The sequence below is a fragment of the Homo sapiens genome, chromosome 9, assembly GCF_000001405.40.
Source record: "Homo sapiens chromosome 9, GRCh38.p14 Primary Assembly".
NCBI classification, from domain to species: Eukaryota; Metazoa; Chordata; class Mammalia; order Primates; family Hominidae; genus Homo; species Homo sapiens.
Window position 1 is genome coordinate 94265607 of NC_000009.12, and position 18897 is coordinate 94284503.

General features: G+C 40.1%; 1 protein-coding gene across 5 annotated transcripts in view, besides 1 other annotated feature; it reads left to right on the forward strand.

Moving 5' to 3' along the window:
- Positions 1–18897, forward strand: part of ZNF169 (zinc finger protein 169) — a 42532-nt gene that overhangs the window by 6309 nt on the left and 17326 nt on the right. For 3 of the 5 annotated variants that reach the window (NM_001301275.2, NM_003448.3, NM_194320.4), the window contains exon 2: positions 13152–13239. Coding sequence is in view for 3 of the 5 variants with exons in the window: in NM_003448.3 (NP_003439.2) it covers positions 13207–13239 (33 nt within the window). In the remaining 2 variants the exon portion in view is untranslated. Of the gene's footprint in view, positions 1–7709; positions 8727–13150; positions 13240–18897 lie in introns of those variants that run through there. The other 2 variants (XM_024447432.2, XM_017014364.2) reach the window with 2 other exon arrangements.
- Positions 16680–17181: an enhancer, noted in NCBI's record as "NANOG hESC enhancer chr9:97044568-97045069 (GRCh37/hg19 assembly coordinates)". NCBI's record gives its function as "activates a minimal SCP1, AML or CMV promoter by ChIP-STARR-seq in primed H9 embryonic stem cells {active_cell/tissue: H9 hESC(primed)}" and the evidence as "EXISTENCE:reporter gene assay evidence [ECO:0000049][PMID:30033119]".

Genomic DNA, 18897 nt, shown 5'->3' on the forward strand with positions numbered 1-18897 from the left:
CCAGAGCTTATATAACAAGCTATATCTCTATGTGTAAGTGTGCTTTCATCTAAATACATAAGTGATTAACTTCTTTTAATCTATAACTAAGGTCTGAGTCCTGAAGACTTTCCTCTGGAGCCTCAGTAAATTTATTTAATCTAAGTGGGTCCAGGTGCTGGGGTGATTACCCTTATCTTATCTCCTGCTAAATCATGGAGGCTTGGGGAGTTCCCTCAGATCCTCAGTAAACTTGTTTGTGGAGACCTAGGGAGTTTCTTCAGACCCACAATAAAACTTGTTTAATCCTAAATGGGTCCTGTTAAGAATTCCTTAGTTATTTACAAAAAAATGGCTGGGCATGGTGGCACATGCCTGTAATCTCAGCTACTCAGGAGGGTGAGGCAGTAGAATTGCCTGAACCCGGGAGGCAGAGGTTGCAGTGAGACAAGATCACACCACTGCACTCCAGCCTGGGCAACAGAGAAAGACTTTGTCTCAAAAAAAAAAAAAAAAAAAATTCTTAGTTATTTTGTCATGCTTTAAGGCTCAGGAAAGGCCTAGGCAAAATTGTTGATGGGCTTTTGTTACATCCTAGCCTTTGTATAAGGGCACTGACTTTTAATATTTAACTTAACCACTCAGTCAGTACTGAAACAGTTCTTAGTGAGACCTGACCTGCCACAATCCCCACTGTCAATTTGCACATGATTTCTATCATGCTTGTATATTTATTTGTCACAAGAATTGTAGGGAGATGGGGCATTATAATCTTTCTGGCTACTTCCTGCTGAGATGGGGTCGTTGTTACGGAGCATCGAACGCAGCGCTGGAGTGAAAGAGTTCAATTTGTTCCCAGTAGCAGTCTCTGTTTTGGGGGCATAGAGGCAGCGCCTGCTGAAACATAGTAGTGTGCAACAGCAACACATATAAATAGGTTGCCACTGTTTTCTTCTGAAGTTTAAGTTGTCTAGTCTTCAGTTCACAGGGCTTCAAGAAGGCACAGCTTAGGTTTCAGTGGTTTCAAATTAGGAAAAATAGGGAAAAAGGAAAAGAAGGAGGAAAAAATTGAAAACATTATTTTGGAGACCTGTAGACAGAAAAATTAGAATTTAATCCAAATTGTAGAAAATAATAAAAACTGAAAAACATCAGGTGAAACTAGAATTTAACAACAGGTGTACTGTAGTTTTTGAAACATAATTTTTCTCTTTCCAGTTTCCCATTTTTATTAAAAGATAAATCATGGTAGAACTGGTTTGCTTCATTGTACTTGGCCTAATTATTTGTATACAGTGCAGAAAGAATAATTATTTTTCGTGTAGGCCTTTTTTTTTTTTTTAAGACAGAGTCTCACTCTGTCACCAGGCTGGAGTGCAGTGGCGCGATCTTGGCTCACTGCAACCTCCGCCTCCTGGGTTCACGCCATTCTCCTGCCTCAGCCTTCCGAGTAGCTGGGACTACAGGCGAGCGCCACCACGCCCAGCTAACATGTAGGCTTTTTAAATTGGCTTTGATGGAACTTTGTTTCATAGAAGGAATCTGAGATAAGACTTTTTAATGCCACGCCCAGCCATGGATTTGTATCATCAAGTACCTATCAGTTGGGTGAATACCTCTCCTCTTGAGGTTCTAAGGTAACCTGGGGTTCATGGACTGTCAGAAAGTGACATTCTTTACTTACCACAGATCAGAAACCCTGTACAGGGACTGTGTACACAAAATATGAGGCCAGTTTCTAAAGGCTTTCTTGGCTTCATAAGTGAACTTTGATTCCTTAAAGGAGAGCACACCATTCCAGTTAAAGCCTTGGTAAAACAACCAGTTTTTCCAATTGTGTCCTGTTACAAAAGAAAACAGATTCTTATTGCACTTATGCAAATAACTGTATTGCCATAAATTAAGAATACTCACAGATAGTTTCCAAATTCTAGAGGAACCAGGTAGAGAGGAACAAATATGCTCCAAATTTTGTTCATGGGCATACACTTAATTGTTAAAAGCTGTTAATAGCTCAGAAGAAAAGTTTCCTTGACACTGAAAAGCAAAACAAAGGATTAGCAATATTTTAAGCAAAAATGTCAAAAAGGTCATTCCAGTCTATTAGTTCAGTTCATGCAGTTAATTCCTGTTGTGCTTGATATTAATGAACATTTTAGCTCTTCACGAGTCCTGAACGTTTTTCCTCTATTCTGATGTCACAATCTCTAAAGTTATCAGAAACCTGCATTCAAAAGCACCTGTTAGAGCTTTACAGCTGATTATAAAACTGCCTTCTTTTTTTTTTTTTTTTTTTTGAGACAGAGTTTTGCTCTTGTTGCCCAGGATGGAGTGCAATGGTGTGATCTCAGCTCACCGCAACCTGCCCCTCCTGGGTTCAAGCGATTCTCCTGCCTCAGCGTCCTGAGTAGCTGGGGTTACAGGCATGTGCCACCATACCCAGCTAATTTTTTTTGTTTTTTTTAGTAGAGATGGGGTTTCTCCATGTTGGTCAGGCTGGTCTTGAACGCCCGACCTCAGGTGATCCGCCCACCTCGGCCTCCCAAAGTGCTGGGATTACAGGCATGAGCCACCGTGTCTAGCCTATAAAACTGCCTTCTAAAGAGGACTGAAACAAGACAATTGTTTATGGATGACAAAAAGTTTTAGGGTAGCCATAGTTAAAGACACAATTGACAAGGAAATCTGTTAACTCTGTGGTACAAAATAATTTAACATAACAATTATAATTATTACTGATAACATACACTAAAATAGAATTATAGGAGTTTCCCATAACTTTGGAACACATACCAACAATGTATTTATACAAATATAGCCCAAAGAAAGCCAAACATGATTTCATATTTAACAGTGCTTTCTGTATAATTTTTATACCAAATAAGCCCAATTTCATCTTTACATTAGTGTGCTATTAATGTTGGCCTGGCACAGTGTCTCACGCCTGTAATCCCAGCACTTTGGGAGGCTGAGGCAGGTGGATCATGAGGTCAGGAGTTCGAGACCACCCTGACCAACATGGTGAAACCCCATCTCTACTAAAAATACAAAAATTAGCTGGGCGGGGTGGTGGGGCCTGTAATCCCAGCTACTCAGGTGGCTGAGGCAGGAGAATTGCTTGAACCGGGAGGCAGGGGTTACAATGAGCCGAGATCACACCACCGCACTCCAGCCTGGGTGACAAAGTGAGACTCCATTTCAAAAAAAAAAAAAAAAATTTCCAAAGACATTTCTAAGTGTCTAAATTATATGTTTTCCTAAAAACCCCAGAGTAGCTTTTGTTGTAATAGCTATTAATGAAGAAAACAGAATTCAGTCAACAGAGAAGAAAAAACTTTTGCTCAAAAAGACAAGGTCTTAGGAAAGAAATAAACAAAAACATGAAGGCCTTTTAAATACAAACATACACACATGCACACATATATATACACATCTTGGATGTTAGCTTTTATTTAGGCCGACTGTCAACCATTGAGCTCCTAAAAAAAAAAAAATTTTTCCTTCCCAGAGGCCTCTCAGCAGGAATGAACCCAATACCTCCCATTATCAAGTTTACATGGTATCAAAAGGAATAAGACAGATACACAAAGAAGTGGAGACAAATTTTGGACAACACAAGGGGGAGTGCACTCAGGCAAAACAGACTCAAAACCAACTCAAAACCTGATCTCAACCAAAATGCAAAGGGGGTGTATGAGCGAGCCCTCTTGCTTCCCTTGGTGGTACCGGACAAATGGCTTCGCAAGCCCAGACAGGAAAACAGTAGGCTCCTGACATACTATCTGGGCAACTCACCCTTGGAGCCCATCCACTCCTGATCTCCATGCTTCCCTAGTAGTGAAAGGGACATGCAGATTTGCGCATGCATGAAACAGCCCTCTGGAGGGTCCCCTGGGAAAACCTCACCCGGCAGCTGCTGGAATCCTCCTGAAGACTGTCTCATTGCAAGCTGCCAGCCACTGAAAGCGGCACTCTCCTTATCTCCTGGCTAGCTCACCAAATTTGTTCCTGGACCAAACTGAGGATCGGGCTGCTATTTCTTGTGGCCCAATAACGAGATGCAGATAAACTGGGGAGGAAGAGAGTTTTTATTTCTGTAACCGGTTACAGGGAGAAGGCCTGGAAATTATCACCAGACCAACTCAAAATTACAAAGTTTTCCAGAGCTTATATACCTTCTAAGCTATATGTCTACATGTAAGTGTGCATTTGTCTAAAGATGTAAGTGATTAACTTCTTTTAATCTATAACTAAGGTCTGAGTCCTGAAGACCTTCCTCTGGAGCCTCAGTAAATTTACTTTTCTAAATGGGTCCAGGTGCTGGGGTGATTACTCTTACCTTGTCTCCTGCTAAATCAGGAGGTTTGAGGAGTTCCTTCAGGCCCCAAATAAACTTGTTTGTGGAGGCATGGGGAGTTTCTTCAGACCCACAATAAAATTTGTTTAATCCTAAATGGATCCTGTTAAGAATTATTTCATTATTTTGTCATGCTTTAAGGCCCAGGAAAGGCCTAGGCAAAACTCTTGATGGGCTTTTGTTACATCCCAGCCTTGTATAAGGGCACTGGCTTTTAATATTTAACTTAACCACACAGTCAGTACTGAAGCAGTTGTTAGTGATACTTAGCCTGTCACAATCCTACCAGGGTTGTACGAGAATTCTGTTGCCTCATTCTTGCCAACACTGCTATTTTCTGTCTTTTACCTGCCCTGATTGATGTAAAGTTAAATTATTACATCTTTCTGGTTTTCTTTTTTCACTTCTTTTCTACTCTTTCTTCACTTTTTGTATTCTTTATATTTCCTAAGTGTTGAATTAAATGGTGAGATGAGACATACTTTTCATGTTCTTGATCTCAGGGAAATCATTCAATATTTTGCTATTAAGTATGGTATTAGTGCTATGTTTTTGTAGATGCTTATTAAATTGAGGAAGTTTCCTTCTATTGCTAATTTGTTAGGAGTTTTTATCATGAATAGCCATTGAATTTTTTCATATATATAAATATATTTATATAATTTAAATATATATAAATTTCAAATTTATATAAATATAAAAATAAATATATTTTTAAATATATATACTATATAAATATATATAAATATATAATTTATATAATTATATAATATATAATATTATATATTATATAATTAATGTATTTATATAATATATAAATATATATGTTATATATTATATAAATATATATAAATAATATATATATTATATTATATAAATATATATAAAATATATATATTATATTATATAAATATATATAATAATATATATATTATATTATATAAATATATATAATAATATATATATTATATTATATTATATATAAATAATATATAATATATTATATAAATATATAAATAATATATTATATATTATATAAATATACAAATAATATATTATATATTATATAAATATACATAAATAATATATGTATTTATATATATATAAATATATATATATTTGCAACTACGAAGGTGATTTTTCTCCTTTATTTTGTTTTATTTTATTATTTTTGAGACAGGATCTCACTCTTGCCTAGGCCAGAATGCAGTAGCACGATCATGGCTCACTGAAGCCTTAACCTCCTGGGCTCAAGCAGTCCTCTCACCTCAGCCTCCTGCATAGCTGGGACTACAGTCACGTGCCACCATGCACAGCTAATTTTTGTATTTTTTTGTAGAGATGGGGTTTTACCATGTTGCCCAGGCTGGTCTTGAACTCCTGAGTTCAAGCAATCCACCTGCCTCAGTTCCCCAAAGTGCTGGGACTGCAGGAGTGGTCCAGGGCACCTTTCATTTTGTTAATGCAAGTAATTAATTGCTTTTCAAATGTTAAACTGGCCAGACTCAGTGGCTCACGCCTGTAATCCCAGCACTTTGGGAGGCCGAGGCGGGCAGATCACTCGGTCAAAAGATCCAGACCACCCTGGCCAACGTGCTGAAACCCCATTTCTACTAAAAATACAAAAATTAGCTGGGCGTGGTGGTGCACACCTGTAGTCCCAGCTACTTGGGAGGCTGAGGTGGGAGAATCGCTTGAACCCAGGAGGCGGAGGTTGCAGTGAGCTGAGATTGTGCCATTGCACTCCAGCCTGTCGACAGGGCAAGACTCTGTCTCAAAAAAAAAAAAAAAAAAAAAAGTTAAACTAACGTTGCATTTCTTGGATAGGTCTCATGTGTTGCCATATCATCCTTATAACCTATTGCTGGGTTTGACTTTCTATTATTTTTAAAGGACTTTTGCAGGAAGTGTATGGCTTTGTCAGGTTTTGGTGTCTGGATTATGTTGGCCTCATAAAATGAATTGGGAAGTATTGCCGTCTCTCCTACTTGTATTTGACAGAATTTATCTGTGAGCCTGAACTTTTACTTCTGGTTAAAGTTTAAAATCATGATTTTAATATCTTTACAGATGTAGGGCCACTCAAAATTACCATTTTAGTTTTGGTAAACCTTATGATTAAAGGAATTTGTTCATTTCACGAATTTGGGGCCTGTCGTTTTTATTTTTAATAAGAATCTCTTATTGTCCTTTTAATGTATGTAGGATCTGTAACAATGTTTCCTCTTTCATTCCTGATCTTGGAAATTTGTCTTTTTAAATTTTAATTTAATCATTTTTCCTAGGGGTTTAGTAATTTTTTTGGAGGGGGTTGTAGGAGCTTTGATCTTCTTATTCTTTTTTTAAATTACTGTGGCAAAACAACCACGTAACATATATTTATCCTCTTAATACTTTTTAAGTATACTGTATAATATTGTTAACTATGTACAACAGAGCTCTAGAACTTTTTCATCTTGCATGACTGAAATCTTTTACCTATTGAATAGCAGCTCATTCTTTTCCTCTTCCCCATCTATTAGCAACTACCATTCTACTTTCTGTTTCTATCAGTTTAATTACTTTAGTATTCATATTAGTGGGATCATGCAATATTTTTCTTTTTGTGACTGGCTTATTTTATTTAGTATAATGTCCTCAAGGTTCATCTATGTTGTAGTATGAGCCAGAATTTCCTTCCTTTTAAAGTCTGAATAATATTCCATTTGTGTGGATAGACTACATTTTCTTTATCCGTTCATACATTGAATGGATACATCTGCTTCCAATTCCTTTGGATATGTATCCAGAAGTTGGATTACAGGATGATGTGGTAGTTCTATTTTTAATTTTTTGAGGAACCTTCATACTGTTTTCTGTAGTGGCTACACCATTTTACAGTCCCACTAACAGTTCATTAAGGTTCTACTTTTTTACATCCTTGTTAACACTTATTTTCTGTTTTGTTTTGTTTTGTTTTGTTTTGTAGTGGCCATACAAATTGGGGTTAGGTGATATCTCATTTTGGTTTTCATTTGCATTTCCCTGGTAATTTGTGATGTTGAACATCTTTTCATATGGTTCTTGGCTATTTCTATATCTTCTTTAGAGAAATGTCTATTCAAGTCATTTATTCATTTTTAATTGAGTTTTTTGTTACTGAGTTGTAGAAGTTCTTTATATATTCTACATTTTAGCTCCTTATTTGATACATGGTTTGCAAATATTTTCTCTCATTCTGTAAGTTGCCTTATCACTCTGTTGGCTGTTTCCTTTGCTGCAAAGAAGTTGGTAAGTTTGATGTAGTCCCGTTTGTCTATTTTATATTTGTTGCTTGTTCTTTTAGTGTCATATTCCAGAAATCATTGTCAAGACCAATATCATGAAGCTTTTTCCTATTTTTTTTTTAGGAGTTTTATAGTTTCAGGTCTAGGGTTTAGCAATTTTAATTTTTTTTGCAAACACCCTTTGACTTTTTAATTCTCTATAGTTTTATTTCTATTTCATTATGTTTTCCTCTTTATTACTTCCTTTCTTCTTATTTTGGGTTCTTTTTGCTTTTCTTTTTTTAGCTTCTTGAGATGGGAGCTGAGTTATTTTTAATTAAAACTTCTTTTTTTAAAGTACATTCATTTAAAGCTATAACTTTCTTTCTTTCTTTTTTTTTTTTTTTTTGAGACAAGAGTCTTGCTCTGTCGCCCAGGCTGGAGTGCAGTGGCACCATCTCGGCTCACTGCCAACTCCGCCTCCCGGGTTCACGCCATTCTCCTGCCTCAGCCTCCCGAGTAGCTGGGACTACAGGCACCTGCCACCAGGCCCAGCTAATTTTTTGTATTTTTAGTAGAGATGGGGTTTCACCGTGTTAGCCAGGATGGTCTCGATCTCCTGACCTTGTGATCCGCCCAGCTTGGCCTCCCAAAGTGCTGGGATTACAGGCGTGAGCCACTGCGCCCGGCCAAAAGCTATAACTTTCTTTCTAAGAACTGCCTTATTACCGGCTGTATTCATTTGCTAGGGCTGCCATAACAAAGTACCACACAATGGGTGGCTGTAAACAACAGAAATTTTTTCTTCATAATTCTGGAAGATAGAAGTCCAAGATCAAGGTTTCGGCAGGGTTGGTTTCTTCTGAGGCCTTTCTCCTTGGCTTATAGCTGGTCATCTCCTCCCTGTGTCTTCACATGGTCTTCCCACCGGAAGTTTTTATGTCCAAATTTTCTCTTCTTACAATGACACCAGTTATATTGGAGTAGGGCCCACTCTAATGACCTCATTTTTACTTAGTTATCTCTTTAAAGACCTCACCTCCGAAGACAGTGACATTCTAAGGTACTAGGGGTTAGGATGTCAACATACGAATATGGGAGACAAGGAATAATTCAGCCTGGAACAGCTCCAAGTCACAAATTTGGTAAGTTGTAATATGTATTAATAAGTTTATTAGAATCACCGAGTTCAAAATATTTTCTCATATCCCTTGGAATTTCTTCTTTGATTCATATCTCCTTTAGATAAGGGCTGCTTAATTCCTAATTATCAAGGTTTTTAAAAATATCTTATTGTTATTGATTTCTGCTTTGGTTCCATCTTGGGCAAATAATATACAGATGTTCCTTGACTTACAATGGGATTATGTCCCAATAAACCCATTGTAAGTTGAAAATATTGTTTAGGTTGACAATGCATTCAATATACCTAACCTGCCGCACATCAGAGCGTAACCTAGTCTACCTTAAATTTGCTCAGAATACTTACATTAGCCTACAGTTGGGCAGTCATGTGCCCAAGGTGGTTGGGGCACAGCTTGGTTTTATATAATATTTCAGGGAGGCATGAGACATCAATCAAATACACTTAAGAAATACACTGGTTTGGTTCAGAAAGGGCAAAATCATCTGGCAACATGGTCCACTATAGAATATGGGTTGTTTACCTTCAAGATCGTGTGGCTGGCTTGGAGCTGTGGCTTGCTGCTGCTGCCCAGCATTGCAAGCCCTGGAAAAGATTAAAATTCCAAATCTGAAGTAGGGTTTTGACTGGGCATGGTGCTTTATGCCTTGTAATCCCAGTGCTTTGGGAGGCTGAGGCAGGAGGATCACTTGAGGCCAGAAGTTCTAGACCAGCCTGGACAAACAGTGAGACCCCATCTCTATGAAAAATAAAAAAATAGCCAGGCATGGTGGCACACATCTGTAGCCACAGCTACTCTGGCGGCTGAGGCAAGAGGATTGCTTGAGCCCAGGAAGTTGGGGCTGCAGTGAGCTATGATTGTGCCACTGCATCCAGCCTTGGTGACAAAGTGAGACACTGTCTCTCAAAAAGTAAATAAAAAAGAAGTATGGTTTTTACTGAATGTGTATTGCTTTCATACCATTATAACGTCGAAAAATTGTAAGTTGAACCATTGTAAGTTGGGGACTGTAGTCCTTTGAAATTGGAGATTTGTTTTCTATGCCTCAGTATTTCATCTACTTTGGTGAATATTTTGTGTACACCTATAAAGGATATGTATTCTATACTTGTTGGGTTTGGTGTTCTGCAAAGGTCCATTAGATCAGTACTGCCCAATAGTGTTTTCCAGATCATCCATTTCCTGACTTATTGTCAGTTCACTTTTCCATTAACTGAGTGAGGTGTAATAAATTTTCTTAACTATGATTATGCATTGGTCTATTTCTCTTTCTCCTATTCTGTCATTTTTCTTCCTGTATTTTCTCTCAGTCCGTGGGTTGTCTTTTCATTATCTTATCAGTGATGTAAAATAGGAGTCGTGGGGGCATCCTTGCCTTGTTCCTGATCTTAGGGGGAAAGCATCTAGTTTCTCACCATTAAATATGATGTCAGCTGTAGGCTCTGCACTATCTGTTTTTTTTTTTTTTTTTGAGACAGTCTCACTGTCACCCAGGCTGGAGTGCAGTGGTGCTATCTCAGCTCACTACAACCTCTACTTCCCAGGTTCAAGTGATTCTCCTGCCTCAGCCTCCCAAGTAGCTGGGCGCCTGCTACCATGCCCGGCTAGTTTTTATATTTTTAGTAGAGACAGGGTTTCACCATGTTGGCCAGGCTGGCCTCGAACTCCTGACCTCAAGTGATACACCCGCCTCAGCCACCTCTCAAAGTGCTGGGATTACAGGCGTGAGCCACCACACCTGGCCTGCACTCTCTTTTCATTTAAGTATAGCCACAATTATTTGCAGAGAACATCGGTTAGACCATTTTTAACCTAAACTTAATACAATTTATACTGATTTTTTAAATGTTGTCTAATATCTAATCATGTGCAGGTTTCCTCAATTGCCTCAAAAATGTCTAAACAAGGTTCACACATTACAGTTGATTGGGGTCTCTTTTTTTTGTTCTTTGAGACAGAGTCTTGCTCTGTTGCCCAGGCTAGAGTGCAATGGCGTGATTTCGGCTTACTGCAACCTCCACCTCCCAGGTTCAAGTGATTCTCCTGCCTCAGCCTCCGGAGTAGCTGGGATTATGGGCGCCGCCACCACACCCAGCAAATTTTTTGTATTTTTAGTAGAGATGGGGTTCCACCATGTTGACCAGGCTTGAACACCTGACCTCATGATTCACCCACCTCGGCCTCCCAAAGTGCTAGGATTACAGACGTGAGCCACTGTGCCTGGCCAATTTTTGTATTTTTAGTAGAAACAGGGTTTCACCATCTTGGCCAGGGTTGTCTTGAACTCCTGACCTCGTCATCCATCCTTGGCCTCCCAAAGTGCTGGGATTATAGGCGTGATCCATCGCACCAGGCCGATTGGTGTCTCTTTAATTCTCTTTTTATTCTATAAGATCTATAAGAGCTCTTTTTATTGTATTTTTTCTACTGTGTTTTTAGTGCTATCCATTTGTTGAAAGTGTTGCATTTTTAAAAAGTTGCAAACATGTTAGTTCACACCACAGAACGTTTGTATCATTTCTTAATGACTGTTTCCTCCATATCCAGAATATCATGATCACACTGTTGACAAAAAGAGTCAAGCTCCGTAAAATATTTTCAGAGATTTATTGTGAGCCAAATATGAGTGACCATGGCCCGTGACACAGCCCTCAGGAGGTCCTGAGAACATGTACCCAAGGTGATCGGTGTACAGCTTGGTTTTATATATTTTAGGGAAGTATGAAACATAAATACATTTAAGAAATACGTTGGTTTGGTTCAGAAAGACGGGACAACTCAAAGTAGGGGGGCGGATTCCAGGCTATAGGTAAATTTAAACATTTTCTGGTTGACGGTTGACAATTGGTTGAGTTTATCTGAAGACCTGGGATCAACAGAAAGGAAATGTTCAGGTTAAGATAAAGGATTGTGGAGACCAAGTTTTATTGTGCAGAGGAAGCTCTCAGATAGCAGACTTCAGAGAGAGCAGGTTGTAAAATATTTCTTATCAGACTTAAAAGGCTGCCTGGCTCTTAGTTGATTATATCTCTTGTATCTGGGAAGGAAGGAAGGAAAACAAAGGGGAAAGGGGATTCTCTATAGAATATGGATTTTTCCCACAAGAGACTTTGTAGGGCAATTTCAAGGTATGGCAAGTAAATATACTTTGGGGTAATACATTTTGATTTTCTTCCTTGTTATGCCAGAGTCAGATTGGAAAGTAAGTCATGATATACAGGGTTAAATAAAACACATCTGATGAGAATTTATGGTTTGTAGGGCACGACTCCCCAGGCCCCTTAGATAGGAATTTTGGCAAGATTTAGAAAAATCAGGGCCGGGCACGGTGGCTCACGCTTGTAATCCCAGCACTTTGGGAGGCCGAGGCGGGCGGATCACGAGGTCAGGAGATCGAGACCATCCTGGCTAACACAGTGAAACCCCGTCTCTACTAAAAATACAAAAAAATTAGCCGGGCGTGATGGCGGGCGCCTGTAGTCCCAGCTACTCGGGAGGCTGAGGCAGGAGAATGGCGTGAACCCGGGAGGCGGAGCTTGCAGTGAGCCGAGATTGCGCCACTGCACTCCCGCCTGGGCCACAGAGCGAGACTCCGACTCAAAAAAAAAAAGAAAAAAGAAAAATCAGAGCTTTGTTCTCAAAACCTAACACCATTAACAATAATTCTCATCACATATTGAATTGTCTCTTGTAGTCTGCTTTTCTCATTCATTTGTGCAAGACAGGATCCAGTCAAGACCTATACTTGTCATCTGAAGTATGATTTATCTCTTAAGAAATATTTTCATTAAGAAAAAATCTACCCCTACTTCTCGCTTCTTAAAAATCTCTTTATGAAATTGACTCGTTATAAAACTAGGTCAGTTACTGACTGCCTGTTCCTAAATTCCAAGTCACATTTCAAATTTTGGGACCTAATTTTTGATATGTGAGTGGAGGGAAGGGTGCAGCCAGAGTCACATAGAAGGAAACTCAGGTTATGGCCTCCACCCTGCTTCATGTCTCCCTCAAAACCAGGAACTTCTGCTTTGGACTTCCTGGAACCTGTCCTTTGGCCTCACAGTAAATATGGATGGGATGCTTTTGTTTTCAGTATGATGAGGCATTTTATTTTTTAACATGAATGCTCACTTGAGGGCACTCTGAGGCCTTTTTCTTTTAATGGAGTCCACACAAAGTCTCACCCAGCTGCTGGAAGATGGGGGCTTCATTCCCTAACTAGAGTTTGGATGTAAGCCTGTTGCTGGCCCAGCTCTGTGGGCTTTTTTTATGAGACACTGGCTAAGAATGGGCTTCACCGATGCCCTCTGCAACCTGTCTTTGTTGCTTCCCTGTTCCTCTACTCCCTACTGAATTGGGAGGCTGGACAGAGTGTGAAGGGTGTTCTTCCCAAGTACCTCTCTCACTTCTCATCTCTTTCCCCAGATTTGCCTCTGCAACTTGACTCTCCTCTAGGAAGAGTACTCCAGAGAGCAGGGATATGTCACCAGGACTCCTGACAACCAGGAAGGAGGTAAGTCCTGAAATTTCTTCCTAGCTATTGCAGGAAGGTTTCATAATCTTTTCTTGTCCTGAAGGCTGCCTTCTTGGTGTTAGGCAAAGCCTATCTTGATCTTGTAGGCGTGACTCATCTTATCTGGAGTTTTCTCTCAGTCTTATTTGCTACATTTATGACTCAGTTATTTACCAAGTAGTTAACTGTGACCATCACATCCTGGGCAGTTAAAATAAAAATACAGGACATCCATGCTTATGTGCCCAGTGACTCCGAAGGCCTACAAAAGTATAGTGGCTCACACCTGTAATCCCAGTACTTTGGGAGGCCGAGGCGGGAGGATCACCTGAGGTCAGGAGTTCGAGGGCAGCCTGGCCAACATGGTAAAACCCCATCTCTACTAAAAGTACAAAATTAGCTGGGCGTGGTGGTGGGCGCCTGTAATCCCAGCTACTAGGGAGGCTGAGGCAGGAGAATCACTTGAACCCAGGAGGCTGAGGTTGCAGTGAGCTGAGATCGCGCCACTGCACTCCAGCCTGGGCGATAGAGTGAGACTCCATCTCAAAAAAAAAAGTATAAGAAGGCTCTCAAAAGAGAAATTGTCTGATTTGCCCCTGAAGGGTTTGGCAAGCTGAAGAGTTAGGGGAAGAGACTGCTGTGAAAATGGCGCAGGACAGTGGCGCGTGCCTGTAATCCCAGATACTGGGGAGGCTGAGGCAAGAGAATCGCTTGAGCCCGGGAGGCGGAGGTTGCAGTGAGCCGAGATTGCGCCATTGCACTCCAGCCTGGGTGACTGAGCAAGACTCTGTCTCAAAAAAAAAAAAGGAAAGAAAATGGGGCAAGAATCCTATCCCTTTTCAGGGATGAGATGACTGGCAGGCTATCCCTCACCGTGTGGGAAGCTTTCAACAGCCAGTGGTCTTTAGCCACATTAGTTTTCTGTGTATAGGTGAGGGCTCTAACCTGCTATTTCTGTGTGGTGCATGGATAGATTTAGTTTTGCAGGCCCATACTTTATAAAGTGAGTTTTCTGTACTTAAAAATTGGAAGATTATGCTTAAAGGTCCAGATTGCCTACTTCTCTGAAAATAGATTATTCTCCACCAGCTAGGCAGCATGTGAACTTGATGTAGCTGAATGGAATTAACACTTACTGACAACATAAATAGCTGCCAGGCAGGGCATTTTTGTATTGATTTTATCAATTACACAAAATATTTATTGTCATTTTTGCTAATTCAGTTTTGCTTTGTGCTATAAATATGTCAAGTGTAGAATGAGAGATCTGTATGTAATCATATTCTGGGGCTCATGGTGGATATTTGCATATTTCTGGATAAATTAAAAATGGTTTTGATCTTATGAGAACGTCACTGAGAGCTGTGAGTCCCTTATTTGTTACACCTTTGAGAGAAATCTGTAACATCTTTGAGAGAAAATGTGTATGTAGCACAGGCAGTTCAGGATTTTTTTCCAAGGTAGCAGGAGACTTTTTTCTTCCGTGTGTTGCACTTTACTATGTATGTTAACAGAGAAGCATTCTAGCAAAACATGGAATATTGGCTTATGTTTTCTGTCCTTACTCTTCCACTTCCTGTGGAATCTTTAGCAGGCCCTAAACCTTATTCTGTCTGTGACCAACTTCTCTCAATATACATTTTTGTTTGTTTGTTTTAGCCATTTCTTTGTGTTAGAAACAAAATGCTTGTTCCTCAGTGCTGCAAAGAAACAGCATTCAAACATAAATTTAATTTTCTCAGCAAGGCAATTTTTACTTCTATAGAATGGTGCAACTCGCGAATGGAGTAATGGTGAGAGCACACCTGGGCAAGGGAGGGGAAGGGGTTCTTATTCCTGACGCAGGTAGCCTCACTGCTGTGTCATTCCCCTGTTGGCTAGGGTTGGACCGCACAGTCTAAGCTAATTCCAGTTGGCTATTTTAAAGAGAGCGGGGGTACCAGCCAGAGTGGTGGGGTGGGTAGTTTGACGGAAGGGCGGTTACTCAGGATGATTCAGGCCAGAGCAGGTGACCAGGGGTGACTCAGGTCAAAGCAGGTGACAAGGGGAACAGATGTGAACTACTGAGTAGAACTGGCGGGAAAGTTGTTTACTGAAACTAGAGGCAAGGGGGCGAAGAGAACCAGGAAGTTAAACTTTAAAATGGAGAATCAAAGAATAAGAGAGCTGAACATACTGACATACTGATTCTTTGAAGAGAATCTTGGAGTTCACTATATCTAACATCTGTGAAAAATTGATGAAAAGATATAAGCATCTAAGAGGCTTAGCATTTTAAAACAAAGCTTCCATATCTAGAATAGTGTCTCTTAGTCAAAAACCACTTGTTGCATAAAGGGAAAGAGGTTTGTTTGTTATGATGCATGTTATTTGAAGCATTGAAATTGTGTATTTTATTACTTTTAAAATTGCATTTCCTGGTACTTTGTTATGCATCAGATCTGAATTATGTAGAAAAACCTGACCTTTATGCAACATGACATTTAGGCATTTTTCCTAAGGGCTTTTGCCTGAGAGGAGAATTGTAACATGCATTATAGTTGTAACATAGAAAGGGAGCTGGTAAGCACAATATGTTAGCTAATAAGAAACTAGTTAGCACCCTGTGAACCCAGAAAACCTGAGACAGGTCTCAGTTAATTTAGAAAGTTTATTTTGCCAAGGTTGAGGATTGTCAACGAAAAGAGTCTAACTCTGTAAAATATTTTTAGAGTTTTATTCTGAGCCAAATATGAGTGACCATGGCCCATGACACAGCTCTCTGGAGGTCATGAGAACATGTGCCCAACGTGGTCAGTGTACAGCTTAGTTTTATATATTTTGGGGAGGCATGAGACGTCAATCAAATACACTTAAGAAATACATTGGTTTGGTTCAGAAAGGCGGGACAACTCAAAGCAGGGGCTCCGAGGCTATAGGTAAATTTAAACATTTTCTGGTTGACGGTTGAGTTTGTCTGAAGACCTGGAATCAATAGAAAGAAGAGTTCAGGTTAAGATAAAGGATTGTGGAGACCAAGTTTTATTGTGCAGAAGAAGCTCTCAGATAGCAGACTTCAGAGAGAAAGCAGGTTGTAAAATGTTTCTTATGGGACCTAAAAGGGTGCCTGGCTCTTAGTTGATGATCTCCTGGATCTGGGAAGGAAGGAAGGAAGGAAAACAAAGGGGAAGGGGATTCTCTATAGAATGTGGATTTTTCCCACAAGAGACTTTGCAGAGCAATTTTAAGGTATGGCAAGGAAATATATTTTGAGGTTAAATATTTTTATTTTCTTCCTTGTCTCATAATGTTATGCCAGAGTCAGATTGGAAAGTAAGCCACGATATATAGGGTTAAATAAAACCCATCTGATGAGAATTTATGGTTTGTAGGGCATGACTTCCCAGACCCCTTAGATAGGAATTTGGGCAAGATAAAAAAAATCAGAGCTTAGTCCTCAGGATGTGCCCATGGCAGCCTCAGGAAGTCCTGACAACATGTGCCCGAGGCAGTTGGGATACATCTTAGTTTTATACATTTTAGGGAGACATGCGACGACGTCAATCAATGTATGTAAGCAGTATATTGGTTCGGTCTGGAAAGGCGGAACAACTTGAAGCAAGGCGGGGATGACTTGAACAAGAGGGGTTCCAGGTTACAGATACGTGAGAGGGACAGTTACATTCTTTTGAGTTTCTGATTAGCCTCTCCAAAGGAGGCAAACAGATATGCATCTATGTCAGTGAGCAGAGAGGTGACTTTGAATAGAATGGGAGGCAGGTTGGCCCTAAGCAGTTCCCAGCTTGACTTTTCCCTTTAGCTTAGTGATTTGGGCGCCCCAAGATTTATTTTCCTTTCATAACCCCTTCATTGAATCTTAAAATTTTTAAAAATATTTGTTGTGTACAGGAGACTTTGTTGGTTTAGGAATAATGATACCTACAGCATAGCATCAATTTGTGTAAGATTCCTGGTTTATTTAGGGGTTCACTCCTCATTGGAATTAAAACTTAAAAAAAATTTTTTGGTTGAGGTATAATTCACATACCATACAATCCAACATTTAAAATGTACTATTCAGAAGATTTTATTATTGAGTGACCTTCACCATCATGTTTTCATCACTGCTAAAAGAAACCTCATACCCATTAGGAGTTATTCCCCATTCGCCCCTCTCCCAGCCCCTGGCAACCACTGATCTGCGTTTTTGTCCTATGGATTTACCTCTTCTGGATATTTTATATACATGAGATCATGTAATTTAACAAAAACGAAACATGTATCAGAAAAAATTACAGAGTAGGGGCCGGGTGTGTTGGCTCATGCCTGTAATCCCAGCACTTTGGGAGGCTGAGGCGGGCGGATCATGAGGTCAGGAGATCGAGACCATCCTGGCTAACACGGTGAAACTCTGTCTCTACTAAAAACACAAAAATTAGCTGGGCATGTGGCATGCGCCTGTAGTCCCAGCTACTCGGAAGGCTGAGGCAGGAGAATTGCTTGAATCTGGGAGATGGAGGTTGCAATGAGCTGAGATCACGCCACTGTACTCCAGCCTGGGCGACAAAGCAAGACTCCATCTCTAAATAAATAAATAAATAAATAGTAGGGAAATCCAGGCCTCTGTCCTTCCCCAAAAGCAACTAATGAGCTGGCAAAAACTGTCAGAATCAACTTTCGTAAAATTCTGGAATCTTGTCAAAACTGGAAGACTTGGTGAAGAAATAAGCTGCTGCTTAGTGGTGAGAGAGTACTATAGCATTTCAGACTGCCTGGCTACCATTAAGTTGCCTGCCTCCCACCTGTCCATGAGGAAGCCCAGGCACAAAGACTTTAAGTCAACTTTCTTAATAAGCACAAAGAACCAAGGAAACCATGGACATGGAACTAAAGGAAATGAAGTCAACAATTTTCAACAGAGAATATCAGTATAGAAAACTTATTTTAAAAAGTATAATATGAGGCCGGGTGCGGTGGCTCACACCTGTAATCCCAGCACTTTGGGAGGCTGAGACTGGTGGATCACCTGAGGTCAGGAGTTTGAGACCAGCCTGACCAATAGGCTGAAACCCCATCTCTACTAAAAATACAAAAAAAATTAGCCGGGCATGGTGGCAGGCACCTGTAATCCCATCTACCTGGGAGGCTGAGGCAGGAGAATTGCTTGAACCCAGTAGATGGAGGTTGCAGTGAGCCGAGATTGCACTACTGCACTCCAGCCTGGGCAACAGAGCAAGACTCTGTCTCAAAAAAAAAAAAAAAAAAAAAAGGACTATAACTAGTAAGTATATTGAATTAGTAATAAAAATCCTCCCAAGGGTCGGGCGCAGTGGCTCATACCTGTAACCCCAGCACTTTGGGAGGCCAAGGCAGGTGGATCACTTGAGGTAAGGAGTTCAAGACCAGCCTGGCCAACGTGGAGGAACCCCATCTCTACTAAAAATACAAAAATTAGCCGGGCGTGGTGGCACGTGCCTGTAATCCCAGCTACTCAGGAGGCTGAGGCAGGAGAATCGCTTGAACCTGGGAAGCTCAGGTTGCAGTGAGATGAGATCGTGCCACTGCACTCCAACCTGGGCAACAGAGTGAGACTCCATCTCAAAAAATAAAAATAAAATAAAATAGTTAGAAGAAACTAGCTTGCACCAGGTAGCAATTTTTTTATAACAGCAGGAATGG